Source organism: Homo sapiens, chromosome 3, assembly GCF_000001405.40.
Source record: "Homo sapiens chromosome 3, GRCh38.p14 Primary Assembly".
In the NCBI taxonomy this organism is placed as follows: Eukaryota; Metazoa; Chordata; class Mammalia; order Primates; family Hominidae; genus Homo; species Homo sapiens.
The window spans coordinates 53345047-53372810 of NC_000003.12; the positions used below are offsets into that span (position 1 = coordinate 53345047).

Sequence of the window (27764 nt, forward strand, 5' to 3'; positions counted from 1 at the left end):
TCATCTATTATAAAATTAACCACTTTTGAACAGGTAAAGTCTCCCTCTCATTCCACAAATTGTGGTTACCATTTCTAATGTATCCTTTCAGTGCATAAGCATATGCAATATTTAATCCAGCAACATATCTGTATCTGCAGTATTTTTCTTTTTTAATTAGTAAAGGAGAAAATCATAGAATAAACCTTCACTTTTTATAGCTAAAATATTTTAGCCAGATTTCTTAACTTTAAAGCTAAGGTCCTGTATACTGCAATTTCTTCTCTTTTAAGTTTATCCAAGTTAATTTTAAAAAAGGAAAGGAATGAAACTTTCTTATAGGATACTTTGTTTCATCACTAGGGAGTTTTCGTACATTTTGACAACTAGCAAATTTTGTGGTTAAGAATTACTACCAAACAAAATCAGCTTGTTATTTTTAGAACTTGAAGAATCTTGAATACTGAAAGTATACCCTGCCTCAGTGTAATTATTGGAGGCCTTTACCATAGTTCATTTTCTGTGACAAGAGTGTATTTAGGTTTTAAACACAGTTCAGTGTTTTTTAAAAAATAAATAAGCTTATTAGTCTGCAATTTACAGCCTACAATGGACCTAAATATTTTACTGTAATCAACGCATTATTAACATTTTAAATGTTAGTCATATATTGAATGTGTTGGGATTAAAAAATTTAGAAAATTGATCATCTCGATTTCTTCCAGAAGTACTACCCTAGCTTAAATATCATTATTTTCCTTCCTAAGGATTCAGAGGCTTTTTCTTACCTTTAAAATGTTAGGTTATTACTATAAGAAACTGGTAATCAACTGTCTTACAGTAAAAGAAAATTTGCCCACCAAAAAACATCATGCAAAGTTACAACTCACTGTAAAATAATAAAGAGGGAAAAGATTTTTGTCATGCTCTATGTGCCAGGATCCAAATAAACAGTAGCAGCTTATTTTTCAATTCAGGTTATTATAGCTTGTATTTCATATTTAAAACAGAACTCCACAATGTAAAATTTTAAAATATTGAAAGCCTTTGTGAAAAACTAGGAAAACTCTAGCCCCAAGTCTTCACCATTTGTCGGCAATCCATATTTCAAAATTTATATATAGGCCAAGAAAAGAAAAAAGATTCATAAAATTTCAAACTAAGGCAATGTCTAAAATAGCTACATTTAAAAAACAATCTACAATTTTATTCCTTGTGGCTTCCCATATCTCCTTCTCTTCCAGGAGGCAAAGATAAACAACGTGATTATAAAAACTCTTCATCTGAATTAACTGTTCATAAATGCCAAATGATTTTCGATAAATTACTGATAAATATAATCTATGCAACTGTATTATAGGGTAAACGACATACTACGGTCATCTTCCAGAGTTCTGTCAGTTTAAGGATTTCGTATCTTATTGAAATGTGAACTCCAGTCATTGGTGAATTCAATCCAACAAGCATTTACGTATTACTTTCTAAGTGTAAAGCCTGTAGCTGAATGAGTTAATTAGGAAGGGTCAATTACAAGAAAGTGGGAAATTATGCTTTTTAAACAACTAACAAAGCTTCAAGCAGGGGCTAACAAGAATCAGTGAACACACTGAATGTGACTTTTCGGACCCTCCCCAGTGCACGAAAGCCAGAAAGTACTGAGTCCGAGGGGAGCATTCAGAGATGACATCACCAGCATCATAGATGGAACAAAACACATTTACAGGGTCTCTCTTGTTTGTACAAAGGTCTTCGGGGATCCAGTGAACACGGAAGCCCTTTTCCTAAGTGCCTTGGAATCTTTTCCGAAACTCTGTGTAGTTCGATTAAAGCCGGACCCACCCACCCCCTCCTTCCAAGAATCGAAACTAATTGGATTTTAAACTTTAAACCCAAATGACCTCTGCGACAGGGGCTCTCATTTACGTTTGCCAGGGGGAGAGGAGGAGTGTTTATTTTATAGATAATGTACATATAATTTATCTAATAATCCGCAAAGCCTCAAACACAAGCTTTCAGGCACCCTTTTGACCCCACCGGTCTTATAACTCCCAATGTATCTGCAAAGAAGGCAGGTCGCCCACGTCCCCAGACCCGACGCCAAGGGACTGATCCTGCTCCAATCCTCCCCTCCACTGGCTTTTCCTTGGGATGTCTCGAGCCACTTCTCTCACTCCTATCCCCCAATCCCAAGCGGACCCGACACCCCTCAGGCTCTGGCTAGGCTCTTGGCCAGACCCTGGCCTCGTCTCCACCGCCCTGGCCTCTTAGTGTGCCCCCCCACCCCACAGTAACCCGCGCGGCCCCTTTAAGAGACGGCAGCGGCCGGGTGGCCGTCCTCAGGGCCAGGCGGCACTCACCCACTGGTTGGCCTTGGGGCAGAAGGTGTACAGAGCGACCTGGCCCGTGAGGTCTGCGATGCTGGTGATATAGGGGTCGTGTTGCTTCAGGGCCGCTAGGCTCATCTCCTGCCCAGCTCGACTCAGCGCCTCCATCTTGAATCCCAGAGCCTAGCCCCTCTGGTGGGGGCGGAGTCGCGGACAGGAAAGTGCCATCGAGGCAAAATTCCCCCATCTGCGTCAGTCCCCTCAACTTCCGCCTCTACGCGGGCCTCGCGGCAGGGCGGTACGTCAGCCATTCTGGTCCGCCGCGCGCACGCTCCGGGCGCCGGGTTCCGGCGTTGTCAGGGTCCGCGGCCCTACGATGTGGGCGGTGTCCAAGGCTGCGTAGTGGAGCTTGCAGGCTGGAGCTCCGGCGCTTCCTTTCCCTGAGCTAAAACGACTGGGTCCTGGGATCTGGCCTCTAGCTCGCCTGCCGAGCTCTTTCCAGGCAAAGGTTGGAGACCGCCGAAGTGCCGGCCTCGCGGTGCGCTGTCTGGCAGGGCCCGGGGCCACAGAAGGAAAACATGTCTGTGGAATGTGGAAATGCGGGACTCTACCGGGCCCGTTTAGAGAGCACAGAAAAACATGGGGGAAAGGGAGAGGCGAGAAGCCCAGAAAATTACCCTAGGTCTCAGATATGGATGTGTCGACCTAAAAGGAAGAAGACTCTGGGGCAAAATAAATGCAAGCAGAGAGTTTATTTGGGCCAAGCTTGAGGATTGCACCCCAGGAGCATAGATTCAAGTTGCCTTGAATATATACACTGATTAGCAGAAGGTACAAGTGGATTTTTTTTCTTTTTTTTTGAGACGGAGTTTCACTCTTGTCGCCCAGGCTGAAGTGCAGTGGCGCGATCTCGACTCACTGCAACCTCCGCCTCCAAGGTTCAAGCGATTCTCCTGTCTCAGCGTCCCCAGTAGCTGGGATTACATGGGCGCGCCACCATGCCCTGATAATTTTTGTGTTTATAGTAGAGACGGGGTTTCGCCATGTTGGCCAGGCTAGTCTCGAACTCCTGACCTCAGGCGATCCACCCGCCTCTGCCTCCCAAAGTGCTGAGATTACAGGCTTGAGCCACCGCGCCCGGCCCTTTTCTTTTTTTCTTTTTGAAACGGAGTCTCGCTCTTTTGCCCAGGCAGGAGTGCCGTGGCACAATCTCAAGCTCACTGCAACCTCTGCCTCCAGGGTTCAAGCGATTCTCCTGCCTCAGCCTCCCAATTAGGTGGGATTACAGGCGCCCGCCACCACACCTGGCTAATTTTTTCTTTTTCTTTTTCTTTTTTTTGAAATGGAGTTTCGCTCTGTCGCCCAGACTGGAGTGCCGTGGCGCGATCTCAGCTCACTGCAACTTCTGCCTCCTGGGTTCAAGCGATTCTCCTGCGTCAGCCTCCAGAGTAGCCGGGATTACGGGCGCCCGCCACCACGCCCAGCTAATTTTTGTATTTTTTTTAGTAGTGACGAGGTTTCACCACATTGGCCAGGCTGGTTTTGAACTCCTGACCTCAGGTGATCTGCCCTCCTTGGCCTCCCAAAGTGCTGGGATTACAGGCGTGAGCCACTGCGTCTGACCCACATAAATATTTTTGTCCAGCCCTGGGAAGAGTCCATGAAGGGTTTAATTTGTCTTGCTTCATTTAAAGCATTAAGCAGATCACTCATTTCATTGGTAAGTGTCTGTTGAGCATTTTAAAGCGTTTGAAAGAGTTAGGCACTAGCTAACAAGTAAAACAAATCATGGAGACTATAGGGAGTTCTATCCCCGCCAGACTTCTTAAAAAGCAACATTTCTTTCGTTAAAAAGGTCATGGAGGCTGGGCGTGGTGGCTCATGCCTGTAATCCCAGCACTTTGGGAGGCTAAGGTGGGAAGACCGCCTGAGGTCAGGAGTTTGAGACCAGCCTGGACAATATGGTGAAACCCCGTCTCTACTAAAAATACAAAAATTAGCCGGGCGTGGTGGCGCACGCCTATAGTCCCAGCTGCTTGGGAGGCTGAGACAGGAGAATCACTTGAACCCGGGAGGCGGAGGTTGCAGTGAGCCAAGGTGGTGCCATTGCACTCCAGCCTGGGCGACAGAGCAAGACTCAAAAAAAAAAAAAAAAAAAGGGTATGGTAGCTAGATGTGTGGGCTCACGCCTGTAATCCTAACACTCTGGAAGGCCGAGGAAGGTGGACCACTTGAGGTCAGGAGTTGGAGACCAGCCTGGCCAACATGGTGAAACCCCATCTATACTAAAAATACAAAAATTAGCTGGGCGTGGTGGCACATGCCTGTAATCTCAGCTACTCAAGAGGCTGAGGCATGAGAATAGCTTGAACCCAGGAGACGGAGGTTGCAGTGACACAAGATTGCACCACTACACTCCAGAGCTTGGGCAACAGAGGGAGAAATTCCATCCAAAAAAAAAAAGGGGGGGGCATGGTGGCATGTAACTGTAGTCCCAGCTATTTGGTAGGCTGAGGTGGGGATCACTTGAGGTCAGGAGTTCAAGACCAGCCTGAGCAACATAGCAAGACTACGTCTGGAAAGAAAAAAAAATTGACATCCCCAACAGAATTGAAAATTTTTGTAAGATAAAACCATATTTTCAAGAAAATAACACTAAATATTTGTATTGCCTATGATTTTATATCCCAGGACCACTGTTTTTTGTCATTGTGTTGATGAGAAGAGTCAAACTCTGTAAAATAGTTGAAGAAATTTATTCTGATCCAACTATGAGTGACCATAGCCCTTGACATAGCTCTCAGGAGATCCTGAGAACATGTGCCCAAGGTGATTGGGGCACAGCTTGGTTTTATACATTTTTGGGAGAGATGAGACATCAAATACATTTCAGGTGTATATTGGTTCTGTCCAGAAAGGTGAAACAACTTGAATTGTGTGCCAGCACACCTGGCTAATTAAAACTTTTTTTTTTTTTTTTTTTTTTTTTTTTTAGAAATGGGGTCTGGCTCTATTGCCCAGGCTGGTCTCAAACTCCTGGCCTCAACCAATCCTCTGGCCTGGGTCTCCCAAAGTGTCCCTGATAAAATGAGTTTTTTCCCCACTGTGTATCAGTCACAAACAAAGAATATCCCATTGAAAAAGGCAATCAGGTTTTATTCATTTGCCAGGGAATGGAGAAGGTGAGCTCTTCCTCTGAAAGCATCTTTTCTTGAAGAATAAAAGGCAAGGGGTTTATTGCCTTTATTCCTATGGGGCAGGAAAGGAATGTTAGTATGTGCAGGGTGGGACTCCAGACACGCAGGCCCAATTCATAAACATGCATCTTCATATATCATATGTACACAAAATGGCAGAGATTTTCTTTTAGGGAAGGGAAATTAGCATTATAATGATATGTTCATGATCTAAAGGCACCCAGGGTTTGCCAGTTCCCATTTGCGCTGGTTTTATGGTGTCTTATCTTCCTCTGGCATCTGGTCAGGGGTCAAGAAGCTCTGGCGCCATCTGGTTTCTTTAAGCAGCAGTGTCTATAGATAAAGGGACCAAAGAAAAACAATAAGAAAAAGGAACTTTCCCAGTTATTTTGTCAGGGCTGTCCTGGTTAACAAAAATGCTGAGATTACAGGCTTGAGCCACCGTGCCCAGCCCCCCTGTTTGTTAATGTAAAGAGAAATTTAGATTCTTTGCAGAATCATGTAAACATGTACAAATGTGGACAAAGACACAGATATCATTCATTCACTCTTAAGTCAGTATTTATTGAACTCCTAATTGTGAGCTGGTGGCCCCTTGGGAGCATCTCACTCTGTTTAAGACATTCCTGGCTCTGAGGGAAAAAAGAAAGTAGGACAGTGCAAGGAAACAGGGATGATGCTAGAGACATTTCTCTTTGAAATCCAGAGGACAGAGCCGCTAACTTAACTGGCTGGGAAAGTCTAGGAGGGCTTCCTGAAGGAGATGATGTTCAAATTGGTGTTCTAGGGATGACTGGGAGTTCAGGGGAAAAAAGTAAGGCCTCTGGTTCATTTCACAGCTCAGTGGTGAGGTAGAGAAGATGTCGTCACCCTCATTTGACAGATGATTTAATTGAGACCTGTGGGGAGAATTCACTGGCTCAAAATTCCACACTAGTCACAGAGGATCCAGTATTAGAATCTAGGGACTCCTATCTTCTACCCTGGGATCCTTTCCTACACGCCCCAGATGCCTTTCTTCCTTCCAGTGGCTGGAGGTAAGAGCCCTATTCCTCTCTACTTACCTTCAATCTGTTTTAAAAATCCGCACCCTAATTTTTAAAAATCTGCACTTTAATGTTTAAAAAACATACATTCATCTGGTACAAAATTCAAAAGGCACACCTGAAACTTAGTTTTTTTTCTTACATAGATTTCCTAAAATAATCGAAGACATTTCATTTTAATTTACTATTTTTGATTGAGCAGGGCTAGCCTATTAAAGAACACCAAGTTATTTTAGGGAATTTTCATATTTGGAATAGAAAATTACTCTGGGCCGGGTGCGGTGGCTCATGCCTATAATCCCAGAACTTTGGGAGGCTGAGGTGCGCGGATCACAAAGTCAGGAGATTGAGACCATCCTGGCTAACACAGTGAAACCCCGTCTCTACTAAAAATACAAAAAATTAGCCAGGCATGGTGGCGGGCGCTTGTAGTCCCAGCTACTCGGGAGGCTAAGGCAGGAGAATGGCGTGAACCCGGGAGGTGGAGCTTGCAGCAAGCTGAGATCGTGCCACTACACTCCAGCCTGGGCGACAGTGAGACTCTGTCTCAAAACAAACAAACAAACAAACAAAAAAAGAAAATCACTCCGAAATACATATTTGCCTGCCTCTAAACATGCTCTGATGCCCCATATAGCTCTTAGGACATATTAAAGATAATATGAATATTTTGGACTTGAAATTCATCTTCATTTATCGTGAGGCCTAATTTTGCCTTATATTTGTGAGTCAAACCTTAAGACCTTTCTTGTGTCTTTAGACAATAGACTCTGAGAGGGCAGAGATGGCATCTTAGTCTTATTAGGTCCCCAGTACCTAGCTAGCCCAGCTCCTAGCATAGAGTAGACTCTCAATAAATATTGGTGATTGAATGTCCTCTTGAAACCCAACTACTTCCAGGCCACACAAAACACTACTAGGAAGGAGGGGAGGAAGCTGAGTGACAGAGTTGGGAAGGAGGCTCTATTCTAGACACAATAACCTACAGTCACTTTGTAATCGCCCGACGTGTTCTTCCTGCCTGCTGCACAGACAAAACCAATTTACTGAGACCATGGTATTACAGTAGAGAAAGAGTTGTTTTTTTTTTTTTTGGAGATGGAGTCTCGCTCTGTTGCCCAGGCTGGAGTGCAGTGGCATGATCTCAGCTCACTGTAACCTCTGTCTCCCGGGTTCAGGCAATTCTTTTGCCTCAGCGTCCCAGGTAGCTGGGACTACAGGCATGTGCCACCACACCCAACTAATTTTTGTATTTTTAGTAGAGATGGGGTTTCACCATATTGGCCAGGCTGGTCTCAAACTCCTGACCTCGTGATCCACCCGCCTGGGCCTCCCAAAGTGTTGGGATTACAGGCATGAGCCACCACACCCAGCTGAGAAAGAATTTTATAAATGCAGAGCTAGCCAAATGGAAGGATTAGAGTTATTATTCAAATTAGTCTTCCTGAGAACTCAGAGGTTAGGGTTTTTATGGATAATTTGGTGGGTAGTGGGCTAGGGAATGCGTGCTACTGATTGGTTGGTGATGAAATCATAGGGGTGTGGAAAACTGTCCTAATGCACTGAGTCTGCCTCTGAGTGGGGGCCACAGGACTAGTTAAGTCATGAGTCAGGGTCCAGGTGGGGTCACTCAGTTGCCAGAATGCAAAGTCTGAAAAAATATCTCAAAAGACCAATCTTAGGGTCTACGATAGTGATGTTATTTATAGGAGCAATGGAGGAAGTTACAAATTTTGTGACCTCTGGCCACATGACTCCTGAGCAGTAAGGGATTATAGAAACTATGCCTTCATCTTAGCAGAATTCAGGCCCCTCCCCTAATCCTAATCTCATGGCCTTTAGTTAGTTTTACAAAGGCGGTTTCAGTCCCTCATCAAGGAGGGGGTTGGTTTTAGGGAGAGATTATTATCATGTCTGCTTCCAAGTTAAACTATAAACTAAATTCCTCTCATTGTTATCTTGGTCTGTGCCCAGAAATGAGCAAGAAGAGCCAGCCTGTGAGGCCAGAAGGAAGATAGGGTCAGCCATGCTAGACTTTTCAAAGTGTCAGAAACTTTGCAACAGTGGTTTCAACTTTTTTTTTTTTTTGAGACGGAGTCTCGCTGTGTCGCCCAGGCTGGAGTGTAGTGGCATGATCTCCACTCACTGCAAGCTCCGCCTCCCGGGTTCACGCCATTCTCCTGCCTCAGCCTCCTGAGTAGCTGGGACTACAGGCGCCCGCCACCACGCCTGGCTAATTTTTTGTATTTTTAGAAGAGACGGGGTTTCACCATGTTAGACAGGATGGTCTCGATCTCCTGACCTCGTGCTCTGCGCGCCTCGGCCTCCCAAAGTGTTGGGATTACAGGCGTGAGCCACCGCGCCCAGCCAGTTTCAACTTTTGAGGTGTGTTCCATGTATGTCAACTTGTGTGTGTGTGAAATTGGGTCTTGCTATATTTCCCAGGCTGGCCTCAAACTTCTGGGCTCAAGCATTCCTCCCACCTCAGCCTCCTGAGTAGCTGGGGGTACAGGTGCATACCACCATGCCTGGCCTATTTTTTTTTTTTTTTTTTTTTTTTGAGATGGAGTTTCACTCTTGTTGCCCAGGCTGGAGTGCAATGGCATGATCTCAGCTCACAGCAACCTCTGCCTCCCAGGTTCAAGTGATTCTCCTGCCTCAGCCTCCCGAGTAGCTGGGATTACAGGCATGCACCACCATGCCTAGCTAATTTTGTATTTTTAGTGGAGACGGGGTTTCTCTATGTTGGTCAGGCTGGTCTCGAACTCCTGACCTCAGGTGATCTGCCTGCCTTGGCCTCCCAAAGTGCTGGGATTACAGGCGTGAGCCACCATGTCCGACTTGGCCTATTTTTTAAAAAATTAAAAATAATTTTAAAAAATGAAAACCTAAAACCCAATCAATCCAATCCCTCCTCTCCCCCAGTTGGAGTGGCTTTGTGGTAAAAAATCAAACTTGCCACTTTACATCGTGGGATCTAAGGGAAAGGGCACTGGAATTCAAGTCGGGAAATCAGTCCTTTAGTTCCTAACCTACCAGCTGTGTAACTTTTTCAGTTAGTCGCAGGCTTTCCATTTCTCCAGTGTAAAATCCAAAGCCTTTAACGGGTCCAGGAGATACTGTTTGGTCTGCCCTCCTGCTGTCTTTCCATTTCCATTTTCTATGAATTGTCCTCTTAATTATTTCACACTAGCCCACTGGCCACCTTGCTGTTCTGTATATTACAAAAGAAAAAAATTACAACAAATTTAGTTTAAAGATCAAATTGGCTTTCATTTGTCATTCTTGAATTGGGTATATAAAATAGAATGAGTATTCCAATGAGCTGATCAGAGGAGGTTGGCTTTACAGGCAGAGAAGGGCTGAAGAAAGCTGAAACAGGAAACAAAAAGCAGATTGGTCACTTCAAAGTTAATTTCCTTATAGTGTTAGAACAGAGAAACTTCCTTATGCCAGCTCAGGTAAACTAGGGCCCTTCTGATTGGTTGCTGTAAATCTCCTGTTTTTGGAAAATGGGCCCTTTTCCGAGTTCAGTTGGATTATGTCACTTAGCACAAGTGACTCCATTATGGTTTTGTCTGGTCTGCTGGGGCCTAGTGCAGGAGGCTAGTCCAAAATAATGGCCTCCCATACACTTTGCTTAACAATGCCAAAGCAGTCTTATCTCAGGTCCTTTGTACTTGCTGTTTCCCTTTTCTGAAACATTCTTCTTTCTGTTATTTCTTAGATATCCTCATGACTCATTTCCTTCACTTTCTTCATAGCACTTATCTGCAAGTTGTAGTTATTTATGTGTGGTCTGTCTCATTCATTTGATGAAGGTAGGAATCATGTCTGTCTCTTTGACCATTACATTCCCAGTACCTGGCAAAATCAAGGCCTAACATACGTATCTCTTGAATTAATTGGAATGTTAGGATGCTCTCTCTTCTTCTGTTGCATAAATCTTACAGAAGGGATGGTGATTTCAACTCCACCTCTAACAAACCATTTGTTTTTCATGAGTGCTAATTAAATAATAATGCCTGATTTACTTGTATTAATATATTCTCATTCTGAGGCTTTATGCTTCCTGAAGCAAACATATTGTTTTTAGTGTAGCCCAGAACAATCTTCAGCACCTTTTCAATCTTACAAGTTTCTCCATTTCCATTCTCTTCTTCTCTCCCCGCATTTCCCCTCTTCCCTGCCCTCCTTTACCTCTCCCCCTCCCCACTCTTTCCCTTTCCTCTCTCCCTCTCTCTGATTTTTTTTTTTTTTTTTTTTGAGACATAGTCTTGCTCTGTCACCCAGGCTGGAGTGCAGTGGCCCTATCTCAGCTCACTGCAACCTCCGCCTCCCTGGTTCATGCCATTCTCCTGCCTCAGCCTCCCAAGTAGCTGGGACTACAGGTGCCCGCCACCACGCCTGGGAATTTTTTTGTATTTTTAGTAGAGACGGGGTTTCACTGTATTAGCCAGGATGGTCTCGATTGCCTGACCTCGTGATCCTCCCACCTCAGCTTCCCAAAGTTTTGGGATTACAGGCGTGAGCCACCGTGCACGGCCTCTCTCTCTGATTTTTAAAATTTATTCTGGAAGTATCCGCTTATTCCTGTTCGCCTTTTTGGGCCAGGAAACCAAAGCTAACTAATTTTCTCAGGGTCATATAATGATTCATCTGCTGAGTTAAGATTAGCATCTTCTAGCCTTGGCTTCCAGGTAGATCACGTATCTTGCTACCATGCTGCCTGGCAGGCTCTTAAATTACACTGGCTACACGTGAGTGAAACTTGTTATCCTTGTGCTGCTGTTTCACCACTGATATTTATTTTTCATGATTGATCCAAAAGATTGTGGACTTACTGTAAAATTCATTCCAGGTCCTTACCAGATATTTGGGACAGTAATGCTTTCTTTCGGTTTCTCAGAAAGGTCTCAGAACTTTGTATTTTAAAATGATACTTTATATTTTTAAAGGTGCTTGATGTTCTCTAGAATTATACTTCTGAAATGTGAACTAGTTTAGTCTGTCAGTTCTGGAGCAGAAATGCTTTCAATCAGAAAGGAAGAAATAGCTGTTCCATTTGGAGTAATGCACCTAGAATATAGGAAGGTAGGACTAGACAGCCTTTAGATCATCCCTTTATTACCAGGCAAGACTTTGTAACATAGTGTTCTTATGATGTTCTTAGGTAGAAAGTATTATGTTTTTTACTGTTACTTAACTCAGTGTAATGTTTCAAATAGCAATAGCACAGCAGTGGCATAAACAATAGCAATATAGTCAACGGATACACTGCTTATCCATGGAGCTCAAAGTACTTCCTAGGTATACCTATTCACAAGCTCTCAAAATAGATATTGGATGTACATAAATTGTTGCCCATTTGCAGATGAAGGAGTTCAGAGGTAAGAGGAGATTAGCTGACTTGACTGTGGCAGAGCTCTTTTGGGTTCACAACAATCCTTTGATCCTTCCCCATTGCATTGGGCACACAGCTAGGCTTCATTTCCCAAGCTCCTTTGCATTAGGCATGGCTCTATGACCCAATTCTGGTCAGCAGAATATTAGTGGAAAAGCTGTGTGCCATCTCCAGTCCCAGGTTTGAAGGAGCATGTTGTCTCTCCACACTTTCTTATTCCTTTTCTGTTGACTGGGTGCCGCAATGGTGAGACCATAAGGAATGGCAGAGCCAGGATTGGAAAGAGCTTGGACCTTGAATCACCATACTGAAGAGTGTTGCCTGATGACCAGACTATCCTTCTCAGACTGTTATGTGAATGAGAAACATAGCCTGTTGACTTTAAGAGATGATGAACTTTGGGGTCTCTTTGTTACCTCAGTGAAGCCTATCTCAGTTAATTACACCGCTCCAGATTGTTTAGAAAGTCAGCAATAAAACTTCAGCCTTCAGAAATAGAATTAAAATTAAGCACATGATTTACCAGAACACACTGCTTAGTGCTTTGACAATAAGTCAAGATTTTAAAAGAACTCCAGGCATAGCTCTGCATTTACAATCAGTTAGAGGCACAAATTTGCAGAGTCACAAAGTGGCTAAAGACCAAAAATGTTTTTGTCTATACCATTAGGCAATTGATTTTGCAATTGCATCATGAAGTAATCTGCTAAGCCAAAATGGGAGGTTGTCATTTAAAATGCACTTTTCCATGAGAGTTCCACAAATATGCTCAGAGTTCCTTTAATCCTGCCTTTCTTTTCCCCTCAGGCATACGAAAATACAAATATTTCTTAGACCAACAAAATAAGAAGAGTTTGATTAAAGGCATCTGTCCACTTTTTCAATTCTGAACACTGCAAGCTTCTTTGTTGTTTCTGCAGAAGTACCAACAGAACCTATAGACTCTTTCTGTTCCTGATGCTTTCTGTATCTTCCCAGTTTCAGTTCTAGGGTGCCTCTAATCTTATATTACTATTATTCATTCACAAATATTTATTTATCTGGCAAAATTAACGTAGTAATAATAATAATAATTCTTTTTAGAGATGGGGGTCTTGCTATGTTGCCCAGGCTGGAGTGCAGTGGCGATTCGCAGGTGTGATCATAGTGCACTGCAGCCTCCAACTCCTGGGCTCAAGTGATCCTCCTGCCTCAGACTCCCAAGTAGCTAGAAATACAGGTGTGTGCCACCATGCCTGGTTCATAATGATTTTTACATATGCATTTAATTCATTTAATAAGTTGTTTTTCTTTTTTTTTTTTTTTTTTTTTTGGAGATGGAGTCTCACTCTGTTGCTGAGGCTGGAGTGCAGTGGCACCGTGTTGGCTCACTGCAACCTCCGTCTCCTGGGTTCAAGCAATTCTCCTGCCTCAGCCTCCCGAGTAGGTGGGATTACAGGCACCCACCATCATGTCTGGCTAGTTTTTATATTTTTAGTAGAGACAGGGTTTCACCATTTTGGCCAGGCTGGTCTTGAACTCCTGACCTCAGGTGATCCACCCACCTCGGCCTCCCAAAGTGCTGGGATTACAGGCATGACTACTGCGCCCGGCCTCATTTAATAAGTTTTAGTTCCCTTGGATCTGCAATTTGATTGTTCGATGACCAGGGCATACTGATAAGCTGTTGAACTCCTATGGATCAAAACTGCACAGAAACACCCAGAGGAATGAATTATTTATCTTCATTGTATCCTCCCACTTTGAGGTAAAACCACAGTGTTACATAGTTAAAGGGTTCAGTTGCTTCCTATTTTTTCAATTGAATGCTATCTTAATTTAGGTCTCCAACATGTGGTCTACTTGGGGCAAAACCAATACAGGATTCATTAGGAGTCTTTCTTGTGTAAACCACTCATTATATGATTTGTGGAATAATGAACACAGTCCAGATAGTGGACTACATTTATGTTATTTTTGGTAAACTTAAATTCATTTATCCTGAGGGCTCAAGTGTTGAAAACATTGTGTCTTTTCCCACTCAATTGCACTTATAGAAATTAGTGTTAAACAAGATATATTGAAAATCACTCCGAATTACTGAAATGCTATAATTTAATGAAGATTAACTGTCACAATATGAAAAACCATTCACTCATCTGTATGTTGCCTGCAGCCTTGAATTTAAGGAATATTACCTGTAGCGGACCTTGAAGGAGATCTTAATGTTCATTATCTAAAGAGAAGGGCATAAATTATGCTTTGCTATTAAATAAGCATCAAGATAATAGAATAACCAATTTTTCTTGCATAATAAAATTGTTGCAACTACTGTGATAAAAGAGGTTGAACTGGGTGAGGAGTGGTCCTTTTTACATTGCTCAAGAACACTAGAAGAATTAAAAATTTATGAATTACCTCCTAGAAACAATGATCTGGGACGGAAATGTAATAAAACACCCACTCTCCTGTGTCCTCCTAAGCTGCTCCATGCTGCTTCATTTTGTGACTGTATTAGTGTGACAACTTTCTGAACCTCTAGAAACTGTCTTTTGGCAAAGACGAAGATTTACAAACCAAAAGATGTCTTATTGAAAATCCAGAGGCAGATGGTGTAGAAAGGTAATGTTAAAATGTGAACCAAATAGAATCTCATTATGTATGTTCTGTATATTTGTAATTTTATTTTCTTTGCATCACTGATAAGTAGAAGAAAAAAAGTGAAATAAGAAGATATGGCATCAAAATCTCATAAAATTAAATGTCTTCCTGGGTAAAATTGCATGAGAAATACGATATGGTTATTTTTGTTTGAAATCTTCTAGTAGCATAAGCTGCCAACATTACTTCTTAAAAGAGCTACCTCTAGTTTTGAAAAGTCATTTGTTAATGTTTTTTTGACCTCTCAGATACTTCTTTGTTTTTGTTCTCTTAAGAGTATGTTAAAGCACATGTATTTGTGTAATATTTAATACTGGAAAATAGTCTAATGTAATATTTAATACTGGAAAATAGTCTAAGTGAGACTGTTTGGTGATAGATGTAACTTAGTTTTAAGGGATGTTGGGAGGAAATTGGGGCTTTTAAATTGTAAATACCTACAAATTGTGTGTTTCTTAAGTATTGGTGACTTAAATGGATGTTTTCCTATAGAAAGGTTTTTGTTTTCTTATCTAGTGACCCCTTTCCTATTATTGTTTTCCACGGATGGCCTCTCATTCTTCAATAATGAAACACAGGAGAACGTACACAATTTCAAACTTTCCATTTATCTGTTTTTGAGCTAGATTGATGTCTAGTTTAGCAAAGGTAATGCAAGTACGATTGCTCAGGTGAAACATTACCATATCGGCATTTTCTGCTTGCTACAAATTCCTGCATTTAAAGTAATTTACTGAAAACTAAGCTTGGGAGGAAAAAATGCCCAACCACAGTTTATACTAATAGAATATATGTGAATAGGATTTCTAACTTTTTAGTCAGTGAATCCCTGAGTATTGACATACATCATCTATAGAAAGCAGCCAACAGATCTGTTGAAAGGCACACGAAGGAAACAGTGCCTTGTAGCTTGTAATTGTTAGAAATACGTCAGCTGCATCAAACTGACAGGTAATCTTAATTTTTTTTTTTTTTTTTGAGACGAAGTCTTGCTCTGTCTCCCAGGCTGGAGTGCAGTGGTACGATCTCAGCTTACTGAAACCTCCACCTCCCGGGTTCAAGCGATTCTCTTGCCTTAGCCTCCAGAGTAGCTGGGACTGCAGGTGTGCACTACCACGCCCAGCTAATTTTTGTATTTTTAGTAGAGACGGGGTTTTACCATGTTGGCCAGGATGTTCTTGATCTCTTGACCTTGTGATCCACCCTCCTCGGCCTCCCAAAGTGCTGGGATTACAGGGGTGAGCCACTGTACCTGGCCAAACTGACGGGTAATCTTAATGTCATATTTTGCTGTGCCTTCTCAGAATGAGCAAGGAGTCTTTTCTTCCCCTAAAAGAAATCAACTGATTTTTAATTAATTCATTAATTAATTTATTTTTATGTAATCCTCTTCCAGGTAAGCAACTGATTTTGAAAGTTACAATAGTATAGATCTTTTCTGATGTGGGTCAAATGATCTTTTTAAAAGGTATCCATAAAGGGTATCACTGACCATAAAAAAAGAGCAGTCTTTGGATTTTGTCCTTTCAGACCAGAGACTGGTCATGCAAAATAGGTTTCAGAGGCAAAACCAATGAGTTTACATTATTCTTAAGTCTGGTGGAGGGTCAACATGTTAACATTGTGAAACAAAAGAGGACTGACCTTTTCTAAAAATATGAGTTAGGCCCTGTCTTAGTCCATCTGAGTTGCTGTAACAAAATACCTTAGACTATTATAAAGAACATAAATGAATAGTTCACAGTTCTGAAGGCTGGCACCAGGATCATGGTGACAGTAGAGTCAGTGTCTGGTGAGGGCTCTCTGCTTTACAGATAGCACCTTCTTGCCGCATCCTCACATAACAGAAAGGCAAACAGGCTCCCCCAAGTCTCTTTTATTTTACTTATTCATTTATTTTTTCTGAGATGGAATTTCTCTCTTGTCGCTCAGGCTGGAATACAATGGCACTATCTCAGCTCACTGCAACCTCCACCTCCCGGGTTCAAGCAATTCTCCTGCCTCAGCCTCCTGAATAGATGGGATTACAGGCACCCACCACAACACCCAGCTAATTTTTGTATTTTTAGTAGAGATGGGGTTTCACTGTGTTGGCCAGGCTGGTCTCAAACTCCTGACCTCAGGTGATCCACCAGCCTCGGCCTCCCGAAGTGTTGGGATTACAGGCATGAGCCACCGCGCCCGGCCCAAGTATCTTTTAGAAGGGCATTAATCCCATTCATCAAGGTGGAACCCTCATGACCTAATCACCTCCCAGATGTCCACCCTCCCAACACCACTGCACTAGGGATTAAGTTTCAACATATGAATTTGGTGGGGACACAAATCTGCAGGCCATAGCAGGCCCACATCCATTAGACTTACTCACTTTATAGGACTGAGTGAGCAAAGCGAACTGCTGACTGTGTGACCTCAAGATGTGGCCATGGTGACTGGCTCTTCATCACTTCTGCTTTGCGGTCACCTGTCCTCTAAGATGCAGATAAGGAGAAAATGAAATGTTAAAAGCTAAGGGAGAAAACACAGACTTGGCTTCCCTATCAACTTCTACTCAATTTTTAAATCTTGTTTTATTTATTTATTTATTTATTTATTTTTAAAGACAGGGTCTCGCTCTGTCACTTAGGCTGGAGTGCAGTGGTGTGATCATGGTTCACTGCAGCCTCAACCTCCTGGGCTCCAGTGATCCTCTCACCCCAGCCTCCCAAGTAGCTGGGACCACAGGCATGCATCACCATGCCTGGCTTATTTTTTAACTTTTGTTGTAGAGTCGGGGGTCTCACTCTGTTGCCCGGGCTGGTCTCAAACTCCTGGCCTCAAGTGATCCTCCCGCCTTGGCCTCCCAAAGTGATTACAGGCATGAGACACCACTGCCCTGACTGAATCAGTTTTATTTAAAGCCATCACCATCAGATATTTGTATGGTGTGCTAAAATACTTTTTTTTTTTTTTTTTGAGACCAGGTCTCGCTCTGTTGCCCAGGCTGGAGTACAGTGGCGCGATCTCAGCTCACTGCAGCCTCTGCCTTCCTGGTTCAAGCAATTCTCCCACCTTGGCTGGGATTACAGGAGCACGCCACCATGCCCAGCTAATTTTTACATTTTTAGTAGAGTTGGGGTTTCACCATGTTGGCCAGGCTGGTCTCGAACTCCCGACCTTAGGTGATCCATCTGCCTTGGCCTCCCAAAGTGCTGGGATTACAGGTATGAGCCACCATCCCTGGCCAATATTTTTAACTTTAAACCAAAAACATAGTCAATATGCTTTTGAGGACTCAGTAGTGTTTCTTCCAATAAACATTTATGCATTTCAATTTTTGATCACATCCATGGTAGATTTATTAGAAATTATTGTGATTCTTTGGAAAAGCATTTATAGAAGTATGGAAGTATGGAAGTGTAGAAGTATAAAGAGGCCAAAGTTTACATGATGAACACATTAGGTAGTTCAATTTTGAATAGACAAAACAATCTTGGGCCTACAGTTCCAGGATAATAATACTGATAAACTATATCAGAGCTCTGCCACAATGAACAAAGCACCATGCTTTTGGTACTTTGATCTTCAATATATTCCCTGCTATATTAACCCATTATGTAGAATGTCCATATATATTATCTCCTTTAACTCAATCCGGGACAGGGCAAGTATGATTACCCTTGTTTTATTTAGGGAAAAATGGGCAGTTCGATATATGAAATGACAGAGCCTGTGTGCAGAGGTGGACCCAGCATTTACCACCACAGCATTCATCCCACAAGCTTGTTCTTCCTCACGACTCATCTGGGATCTTAACCCTTTGGCTTCCAAGAAATCACTTAGCAAAACCCATAAACAAATGCTAATGGACTCATGGTGGTCTAGAGGGCCATTGCCAGGTATTATGTATTTTACCTGATCTATCCTACTACTGGCTTTTATAGTGGATGTTTCACCAAAGCATGAAAGATAGTTTTTTGCTAGCAAAATAATAAAACTGAGCTGTGAAACAAGAAAGGAGAAATCCATAAAAATTCTAGTGTCCATAAAATTTTATTAGATAGCATAAGAACTCTGGGAACTATTTTTGAAAGATCCTTGTGATTGACCTAACTCTTAATTTTGTGACTGGAGCTGGCGTTGCTTTGGAGCTAGCCACAGGTTTCCTTGTCTCCTGCCTCCTCAGTGCTGAGTAACTCAGTGCATTCACTCCCACAGAACTGGACTTTGGAAGGTCTGTTTTTGGCTTTGCCTCCTCTGCAGATGGGGTGCAACCAAGTCAAGATGCTTCCTCTGGAATGGAGTTAATTCTGGATATCTTAGGAACATATCTGGATTCCAATCTGTGGAATGTCCATGATTTTTCTTTTTTTTCTTCCTGTTACCATTTATCTTCTCATTAAAATTTCCATGGTGGCATATGCCTGTAATCCCAGCAGTTGGGGATGCTAATGTGGGAGGATTGCTTGGGACTAGGAGTTTGAGGCTGCAGTGAGCCATGATTGTGCCACTGCACTCCAGCCCAGGCAACAGAGCGAGACCCTATCTCAAACAACAAACGAACAAAAAATTTTCATCAGGTAATTAGGAGTTAGAAAAAGAAGTTAGAAGAGGGGGGAACTAGCAATATAAAGTAGTATATGGTCCTGATATCTAGGGCTGGGTGTCCGGATGAAGAGCGCTCAGAGAAGCTATTACAGAAAAGGCAGTAACGCAACTGAGCCTTGGTGAATGGATAGGGTTAGGATAGCCTGAGAGGACAGGAGAAGATGCCACATCCAATTGTTTTTCTTTCTTTTTTTTTTTTTTTTTCTTTTTGAGACAGAGTGTCACTCTGTTGGCCAGGCTGGAGTGCAATGGCACGACCTCGGCTCACTGCAACCTCGGTCTCCCTGGCTCAAGCAATTCTCCTGCCTCAGTCTCCCGAGTAGCTGGGATTACGGGCATGTGCCACCACGCCTGGCTAATTTTTGCAGTTTTAGTAGATATGGGGTTTCACCATGTTGGCCAGGCTGGTCTCGAACTCCTGACCTCAGGTGATCCGCCCGCCTCGGCCTCCCAAAGTGCTGGGATTACAGGCGTGAGCCACCGCGCCTGGCTTCTTTCTTTTTTTAAGAGACAGGGTCTCACTCTGTCACCCAAGCTTTTGTGTTCAGTGGTGTGATCATGGCTCACTGTAACTTCCAACTGCTGGGCTCAAGTGATCATCCTGTCTCAGCTCCCCAAGTAGCTGGAACTACAGGCACACATCACAACACCTGGCTGATTTTTGATTTTTTTTTCCAGAGATGGGGGTCTTGCCATGTTGCCCAGGCTGGTCTTGAACTCCTGGGCTCAAGTGATCCTCTCACCTCAGCCTTCTGATTAGCTGGGATTACAGGTGTTAACCACTGCACCTGGCCAATTCTTTTTTGTTGTTTTTGTTTCAGAGAAAATCATATGAATTCTCTTTGAGGTTACACTCTTTTGGACTATGTCTTGGGCAGAACTTCTTCTTTTTTCCTATTTGCTGTGATATGTTTGATATGTTAAAGCAGTGTCTCACTGAAAGCTTTAAGACACCTAGCATCTGAGCATTCTAAATCAGAAACTCAAATAATCTTGGCTTTTCCATCTGATGGCTGGCCCCTTGGAAGAAGTCATTTAACTTGTCTGGATCTGTTTTCTTTTTTTTTTTTTTCTTTTTTTTTTTATTATTATTATACTTTAAGTTTTAGGGTACATGTGCACATTGTGCAGGTTAGTTACATATGTATACATGTGCCATGCTGGTGCGCTGCACCCACTAACTCGTCATCTAGCATTAGGTATATCTCCCAATGCTATCCCTCCCCCATCCCCCGACCCCACCACAGTCCCCAGAGTGTGATATTCCCCTTCCTGTGTCCATGTGATCTCATTGTTCAGTTCCCACCTATGAGTGAGAATATGCGGTGTTTGGTTTTTTGTTCTTGCGATAGTTTACTGAGAATGATGGTTTCCAATTTCATCCATGTCCCTACAAAGGACATGAACTCATCATTTTTTATGGCTGCATAGTATTCCATGGTGTATATGTGCCACATTTTCTTAATCCAGTCTATCATTGTTGGACATTTGGGTTGGTTCCAAGTCTTTGCTATTGTGAATAATGCCGCAATAAACATACGTGTGCATGTGTCTTTATAGCAGCATGATTTATAGTCATTTGGGTATATACCCAGTAATGGGATGGCTGGGTCAAATGGTATTTCTAGTTCTAGATCCCTGAGGAATCGCCACACTGACTTCCACAATGGTTGAACTAGTTTACAGTCCCACCAACAGTGTAAAAGTGTTCCTATTTCTCCACATCCTCTCCAGCACCTGTTGTTTCCTGACTTTTTAATGATTGCCATTCTAACTGGTGTGAGATGATATCTCATAGTGGTTTTGATTTGCATTTCTCTGATGGCCAGTGATGATGAGCATTTTTTCATGTGTTTTTTGGCTGCATAAATGTCTTCTTTTGAGAAGTGTCTGTTCATGTCCTTCGCCCACTTTTTGATGGGGTTGTTTGTTTTTTTCTTGTAAATTTGTTTGAGTTCATTGTAGATTCTGGATATTAGCCCTTTGTCAGATGAGTAGGTTGCAAAAATTTTCTCCCATGTTGTAGGTTGCCTGTTCACTCTGATGGTAGTTTCTTTTGCTGTGCAGAAGCTCTTTAGTTTAATTAGATCCCAGTTTTGGCTTTTGTTGCCATTGCTTTTGGTGTTTTAGACATGAAGTCCTTGCCCACGCCTATGTCCTGAATGGTAATGCCTAGGTTTTCTTCTAGGGTTTTTATGGTTTTAGGTCTAACGTTTAAATCTTTAATCCATCTTGAATTGATTTTTGTATAAGGTGTAAGGAAGGGATCCAGTTTCAGCTTTCTACATATGGCTAGCCAGTTTTCCCAGCACCATTTATTAAATAGGGAATCCTTTCCCCATTGCTTGTTTTTCTCAGGTTTGTCAAAGATCAGATAGTTGTAGATATGCGGCGTTATTTCTGAGGGCTCTGTTCTGTTCCATTGATCTATATCTCTGTTTTGGTACCAGTACCATGCTGTTTTGGTTACTGTAGCCTTGTAGTATAGTTTGAAGTCAGGTAGTGTGATGCCTCCAGCTTTGTTCTTTTGGCTTAGGATTGACTTGGCGATGCGGGCTCTTTTTTGGTTCCATATGAACTTTAAAGTAGTTTTTTCCAATTCTGTGAAGAAAGTCATTGGTAGCTTGATGGGGATGGCATTGAATCTGTAAATTACCTTGGGCAGTATGGCCATTTTCACGATACTGATTCTTCCTACCCATGAGCATGGAATGTTCTTCCATTTGTTTGTGTCCTCTTTTATTTCCTTGAGCAGTGGTTTGTAGTTCTCCTTGAAGAGGTCCTTCACATCCCTTGTAAGTTGGATTCCTAGGTATTTTATTCTCTTTGAAGCAATTGTGAATGGGAGTTCACTCATGATTTGGCTCTCTGTTTGTCTGTTGTTGGTGTATAAGAATGCTTGTGATTTTTGTACATTGATTTTGTATCCTGAGACTTTGCTGAAGTTGCTTATCAGCTTAAGGAGATTTTGGGCTGAGACGATGGGGTTTTCTAGATAAACAATCATGTCGTCTGCAAACAGGGACAATTTGACTTCCTCTTTTCCTAATTGAATACCCTTTATTTCCTTCTCCTGCCTGATTGCCCTGGCCAGAACTTCCAACACTATGTTGAATAGGAGCGGTGAGAGAGGGCATCCCTGTCTTGTGCCAGTTTTCAAAGGGAATGCTTCCAGTTTTTGCCCATTCAGTATGATATTGGCTGTGGGTTTGTCATAGATAGCTCTTATTATTTTGAAATACGTCCCATCAATACCTAATTTATTGAGAGTTTTTAGCATGAAGGGTTGTTGAATTTTGTCAAAGGCTTTTTCTGCATCGATTGAGATAATCATGTGGTTTTTGTCTTTGGCTCTGTTTATATGCTGGGTTACATTTATTGATTTGCGTATATTGAACCAGCCTTGCATCCCAGGGATGAAGCCCACTTGATCATGGTGGATAAGCTTTTTGATGTGCTGCTGGATTCGGTTTGCCAGTATTTTATTGAGGATTTTTGCATCAATGTTCATCAAGGATATTGGTCTAAAATTCTCTTTTTTGGTTGTGTCTCTGCCCGGCTTTGGTATCAGAATGATGCTGGCCTCATAAAATGAGTTAGGGAGGATTCCCTCTTTTTCTATTGATTGGAATAGTTTCAGAAGGAATGGTACCAGCTCCTCCTTGTACCTCTGGTAGAATTCAGCTGTGAATCCATCTGGTCCTGGACTCTTTTTGGTTGGTAAACTATTGATTATTGCCACAATTTCAGATCCTGTTATTGGTCTATTCAGAGATTCAACTTCTTCCTGGTTTAGTCTTGGGAGAGTGTATGTGTCGAGGAATGTATCCATTTCTTCTAGATTTTCTAGTTTATTTGCGTAGAGGTGTTTGTAGTATTCTCTGATGGTAGTTTGTATTTCTGTGGGATTGGTGGTGATATCCCCTTTATCATTTTTTATTGTGTCTATTTGATTCTTCTCTCTTTTTTTCTTTATTAGTCTTGCTAGCGGTCTATCAATTTTGTTGATCCTTTCAAAAAACCAGCTCCTGGATTCATTGATTTTTTGAAGGGTTTTTTGTGTTTCTATTTCCTTCAGTTCTGCTCTGATTTTAGTTATTTCTTGCCTTCTGCTAGCTTTTGAATGTGTTTCCTCTTGCTTTTCTAGTTCTTTTAATTGTGATGTTAGGGTGTCAATTTTGGATCTTTCCTGCTTTCTCTTGTAGGCATTTAGTGCTATAAATTTCCCTCTACACACTGCTTTGAATGCGTCCCAGAGATTCTGGTATGTGGTGTCCTTGTTCTCGTTGGTTTCAAAGAACATCTTTATTTCTGCCTTCATTTCGTTCTGTACCCAGTAGTCATTCAGGAGCAGGTTGTTCAGTTTCCATGTAGTTGAGCGGCTTTGAGTGAGATTCTTAATCCTGAGTTCTAATTTGATTGCACTGTGGTCTGAGAGATAGTTTGTTATAATTTCTGTTCTTTTACATTTGCTGAGGAGAGCTTTACTTCCAACTATGTGGTCAATTTTGGAATAGGTGTGGTGTGGTGTTGAAAAAAATGTATATTCTGTTGATTTGGGGTGGAGAGTTCTGTAGATGTCTATTAGGTCCGCTTGGTGCAGAGCTGAGTTCAATTCCTGGGTATCCTTGTTGACTTTCTGTCTCGTTGATCTGTCTAATGTTGACAGTGGGGTGTTAAAGTCTCCCATTATTAATGTGTGGGAGTCTAAGTCTCTTTGTAGGTCACTCAGGACTTGCTTTATGAATCTGGGTGCTCCTGTATTCGGTGCATTAATATTTAGGATAGTTAGCTCCTCTTGTTGAATTGATCCCTTTACCATTATGTAATGGCCTTCTTTGTCTCTTTTGATCTTTGTTGGTTTAAAGTCTGTTTTATCAGAGACTAGGATTGCAACCCCTGCCTTTTTTTGTTTTCCATTGGCTTGGTAGATCTTCCTCCATCCTTTTATTTTGAGCCTATGTGTGTCTCTGCACGTGAGATGGGTTTCCTGAATACAGCACACTGATGGGTCTTGACTCTTTATCCAACTTGCCAGTCTGTGTCTTTTAATTGCAGAATTTAGTCCATTTATATTTAAAGTTAATATTGTTATGTGTGAATTTGATCCTGTCATTATGATGTTAGCTGGTGATTCTGCTCGTTAGTTGATGCAGTTTCTTCCTAGTCTCGATGGTCTTTACATTTTGGCATGATTTTGCAGCGGCTGGTACCGGTTGTTCCTTTCCATGTTTAGCGCTTCCTTCAGGAGCTCTTTTAGGGCAGGCCTGGTGGTGACAAAATCTCTCAGCATTTGCTTGTCTATAAAGTATTTTATTTCTCCTTCACTTATGAAGCTTAGTTTGGCTGGATATGAAATTCTGGGTTGAAAATTCCTTTCTTTAAGAATGTTGAATATTGGCCCCCACTCTCTTCTGGCTTGTAGGGTTTCTGCCGAGAGATCCGCTGTTAGTCTGATGGGCTTTCCTTTGAGGGTAACCCGACCTTTCTCTCTGGCTGCCCTTAACATTTTTTCCTTCATTTCAACTTTGGTGAATCTGACAATTATGTGTCTTGGAGTTGCTCTTCTCGAGGAGTATCTTTGTGGCGTTCTCTGTATTTCCTGAATCTGAACGTTGGCCTGCCTTGCTAGATTGGGGAAGTTCTCCTGGATAATATCCTGCAGAGTGTTTTCCAACTTGGTTCCATTCTCCACATCACTTTCAGGTACACCGATCAGACGTAGATTTGGTCTTTTCACATAGTCCCATATTTCTTGGAGGCTTTGCTCATTTCTTTTTATTCTTTTTTCTCTAAACTTCCCTTCTCGCTTCATTTCATTCATTTCATCTTCCATCGCTGATACCCTTTCTTCCAGTTGATTGCATCGGCTCCTGAGGCTTCTGCATTCTTCACGTAGTTCTCGAGCCTTGGTTTTCAGCTCTATCAGCTCCTTTAAGCACTTCTCTGTATTGGTTATTCTAGTTATACATTCTTCTAAATTTTTTTCAAAGTTTTCAACTTCTTTGCCTTTGGTTTGAATGTCCTCCCGTAGCTCAGAGTAATTTGATCGTCTGAAGCCTCCTTCTCTCAGCTCGTCAAAATCATTCTCCATCCAGCTTTGTTCCATTGCTGGTGAGGAACTGCGTTCCTTTGGAGGAGGAGAGGCGCTCTGCTTTTTAGAGTTTCCAGTTTTTCTGTTCTGTTTTTTCCCCATCTTTGTGGTTTTATCTACTTTTGGTCTTTGATGATGGTGATGTACAGATGGGTTTTCGGTGTAGATGTCCTTTCTGGTTGTTAGTTTTCCTTCTAACAGACAGGACCCTCAGCTGCAGGTCTGTTGGAATACCCTGCCGTGTGAGGTGTCAGTGTGCCCCTGCTGGGGGGTGCCTCCCAGTTAGGCTGCTCGGGGGTCAGGGGTCAGGGACCCACTTGAGGAGGCAGTCTGCCCGTTCTCAGATCTCCAGCTGCGTGCTGGGAGAACCACTGCTCTCTGCAAAGCTGTCAGACAGGGACACTTAAGTCTGCAGAGGTTACTGCTGTCTTTTTGTTTGTCTGTGCCCTGCCCCTAGAGGTGGAGCCTACAGAGGCAGGCAGGCCTCCTTGAGCTGTGGTGGGCTCCACCCAGTTCGAGCTTCCCGGCTGCTTTGTTTACCTAAGCAAGCCTGGGCAATGGCGGGCGCCCCTCCCCCAGCCTGGTTGCCGCCTTGCAGTTTAATCTCAGACTGCTGTGCTAGCAATCAGCGAGATTCCGTGGGCGTAGGACCCTCTCAGCCAGGTGTGGGATATAGTCTCGTGGTGCGCCGTTTTTTAAGCCGGTCTGAAAAGTGCAATATTCGGGTGGCAGTGACCCGATTTTCCAGGTGCGTTCGTCACCCCTTTCTTTGACTCGGAAAGGGAACTCCCTGACCCCTTGCGCTTCCCAGGTGAGGCAATGCCTCGCCCTGCTTCGGCTCGCGCACGGTGCGCGCACACACTGGCCTGCGCCCACTGTCTGGCACTCCCTAGTGAGATGAACCCGGTACCTCAGATGGAAATGCAGAAATCACCCGTCTTCTGCGTAGCTCACGCTGGGAGCTGTAGACCGGAGCTGTTCCTATTCGGCCATCTTGGCTCCTCCCCCTGGATCTGTGTTCTCATCTGAAAAAATAGGGTTGATATTACCTTCTTCCCAGGCTTACAGAAATTGAGAAATTGGCCACGTTGTGAAAAACGTGGGCCTTCCACTTAGTAAAAAGCTCAGTCAAGAACAAGATTCTCTTTCCTCTTCACAGCCCATAAATGATAGATTCGTTTTATAAGTACGGGACAGCCAGCACGACTCCTGGCAGCATGCATTAAGAATGTGGTAACTCCGCTGAAATGCTTGGCTCTGGAATTTGGGTCTGCCTTCCTGGAAACTCAAGCCTGACCTTTCACTGGTGGCCGCCCAGAGACCCCTCATCCTTGTCTGGGAAATGGATAGTGGCACCACAGTTCACATTTCCCAGTACATTGCCATCCACAACCCTCTGGATCCCTTAAACACATGCTAGCTGTCAAGAGAAGTAAAGGACAACAGAGTTTAGGACTGAAAAGTGCTGAGTCCAGGCATCTATGTTAACAAGTGAGGACATTTGTTAGCCAAGGACAAGTGCATATTGCTAGGCAATCAGAAGTTTTCCACTGAGCTGGTCCAGCACAGAGCTATAGCAATTTTTCTTATGTATATTTTCCTGAATGACTTTCAAAAGGCCTACAGCAGTGCAATCAGATGAAGGAGACTCACTAGTTAAGCCCACTGTCTCCCTATAATTAAGGCCACTATGAGGGGGAGAACCCAAATCTGATTTTGGAGCTTGTGCTAAGCCTAGAAAGCAAAGAAAAAGCCCTCTAGCGAGCAAAATAACACCTCTTTAAAAGCTAAATGTAATTTCAGAGTGCATCAGGTACACACCTATAAGTCCTGTGTCCCTATGCTCCAGGGTTTCTGTTGAAAGAATAACAAAAACAAGTGACAAGTAATTCTAGTCAGAGAAACAGAACGAAGGCAAAAAAAGAAAAGAAAAAAACAAACAGCAACAACAACAACAACAACAAAAACCAAACAAACCCCCAAAACAAAACCTCCCAAACAAAGAAACCCTCCCCTTGGCTGGGCGTGGTGGCTCACACCTATAATCCCAGCACTTTGAGAGGCCCAGGTGGATGGATCACGAGGTCGAGATCGAGACCATCCCGGCCAACATGATGAAACTCTGCCTGTACTAAAAATACAAAAATTAGCCGGGCGTGTAGGCGCGCGCCTGTAATCCCAGCTACTCGGGAGGCTGAGGCAGGAGAATCGCTTGAACTCGGGAGGCAGAGTTTGCAGTGAACTGAGATCGCACCACTGCACTCCAGCCTGGCGACAGAGCACGACTCCGTCTCAAAAAACAAAAAACAAAGGAGAAAACCCCCTCCCTTAAACTTCCTAACATCTCCTCCTAACACTGGAAGGCGGGAACTTCTGTGAATTTGCTTCAGCTGCATAACCAGGCTCTTAATGCGCAGCAGGGTCGCCATCTTGCCGGTCTGCAAGGGCTTCGGTTCTCTGCTTCTTGCTCTAACATTCAGTGACTCAGCAGAG

At 42.9% G+C, this 27764-nt stretch overlaps 1 protein-coding gene and 1 long non-coding RNA gene across 7 annotated transcripts in view, besides 6 other annotated features; both read right to left on the reverse strand.

The window, feature by feature from the left end:
• The window catches only part of DCP1A (decapping mRNA 1A), a 64115-nt gene extending 61618 nt beyond the window's left edge, over positions 1-2497 (reverse strand). For all 5 annotated transcript variants that reach the window (NM_001290207.2, NM_001290206.2, NM_001290204.2 and 2 more), the window contains exon 1: positions 2337-2497. Coding sequence is in view for 2 of the 5 variants with exons in the window: in NM_001290204.2 (NP_001277133.1) it covers positions 2337-2471 (135 nt within the window). In the remaining 3 variants the exon portion in view is untranslated. The remainder of the gene's footprint in view (positions 1-2336) is intronic.
• Positions 1505-2095: an enhancer, noted in NCBI's record as "H3K27ac hESC enhancer chr3:53380578-53381168 (GRCh37/hg19 assembly coordinates)". NCBI's record gives its function as "activates a minimal SCP1, AML or CMV promoter by ChIP-STARR-seq in naive H9 embryonic stem cells {active_cell/tissue: H9 hESC(naive)}" and the evidence as "EXISTENCE:reporter gene assay evidence [ECO:0000049][PMID:30033119]".
• Positions 2096-2686: an enhancer, noted in NCBI's record as "H3K27ac hESC enhancer chr3:53381169-53381759 (GRCh37/hg19 assembly coordinates)". NCBI's record gives its function as "activates a minimal SCP1, AML or CMV promoter by ChIP-STARR-seq in naive H9 embryonic stem cells {active_cell/tissue: H9 hESC(naive)}" and the evidence as "EXISTENCE:reporter gene assay evidence [ECO:0000049][PMID:30033119]".
• Positions 2096-2991: a biological region, named in NCBI's record as "H3K27ac hESC enhancer GRCh37_chr3:53381169-53381759".
• Positions 2222-2991: an enhancer, noted in NCBI's record as "active region_19968". NCBI's record gives its function as "activates an Ori minimal core promoter by ATAC-STARR-seq in GM12878 lymphoblastoid cells {active_cell/tissue: GM12878}" and the evidence as "EXISTENCE:reporter gene assay evidence [ECO:0000049][PMID:35858748]".
• On the reverse strand, positions 5724-26227 carry LOC105377094 (uncharacterized). 2 transcript variants are annotated; one of them, XR_940846.3, is made up of 4 exons: positions 26182-26227; positions 16959-17061; positions 9583-9760; positions 5724-5833 (listed from the first exon to the last, which is right to left on the reverse strand). It is a non-coding gene; the product is annotated as an uncharacterized LOC105377094 (long non-coding RNA). The 2 variants fall into 2 exon arrangements; XR_940847.3 differs by lacking the exon at positions 9583-9760.
• Positions 8196-8490: a silencer, noted in NCBI's record as "tiled region #4971; HepG2 Repressive non-DNase unmatched - State 23:Low". NCBI's record gives its function as "represses a minimal TATA promoter and a strong SV40 promoter by Sharpr-MPRA in HepG2 cells {active_cell/tissue: HepG2}" and the evidence as "EXISTENCE:reporter gene assay evidence [ECO:0000049][PMID:27701403]".
• Positions 25418-26043: an enhancer, noted in NCBI's record as "NANOG-H3K27ac-H3K4me1 hESC enhancer chr3:53404491-53405116 (GRCh37/hg19 assembly coordinates)". NCBI's record gives its function as "activates a minimal SCP1, AML or CMV promoter by ChIP-STARR-seq in naive H9 embryonic stem cells {active_cell/tissue: H9 hESC(naive)}" and the evidence as "EXISTENCE:reporter gene assay evidence [ECO:0000049][PMID:30033119]".
• Positions 26228-27764: the final 1537 nt, after the last annotated feature.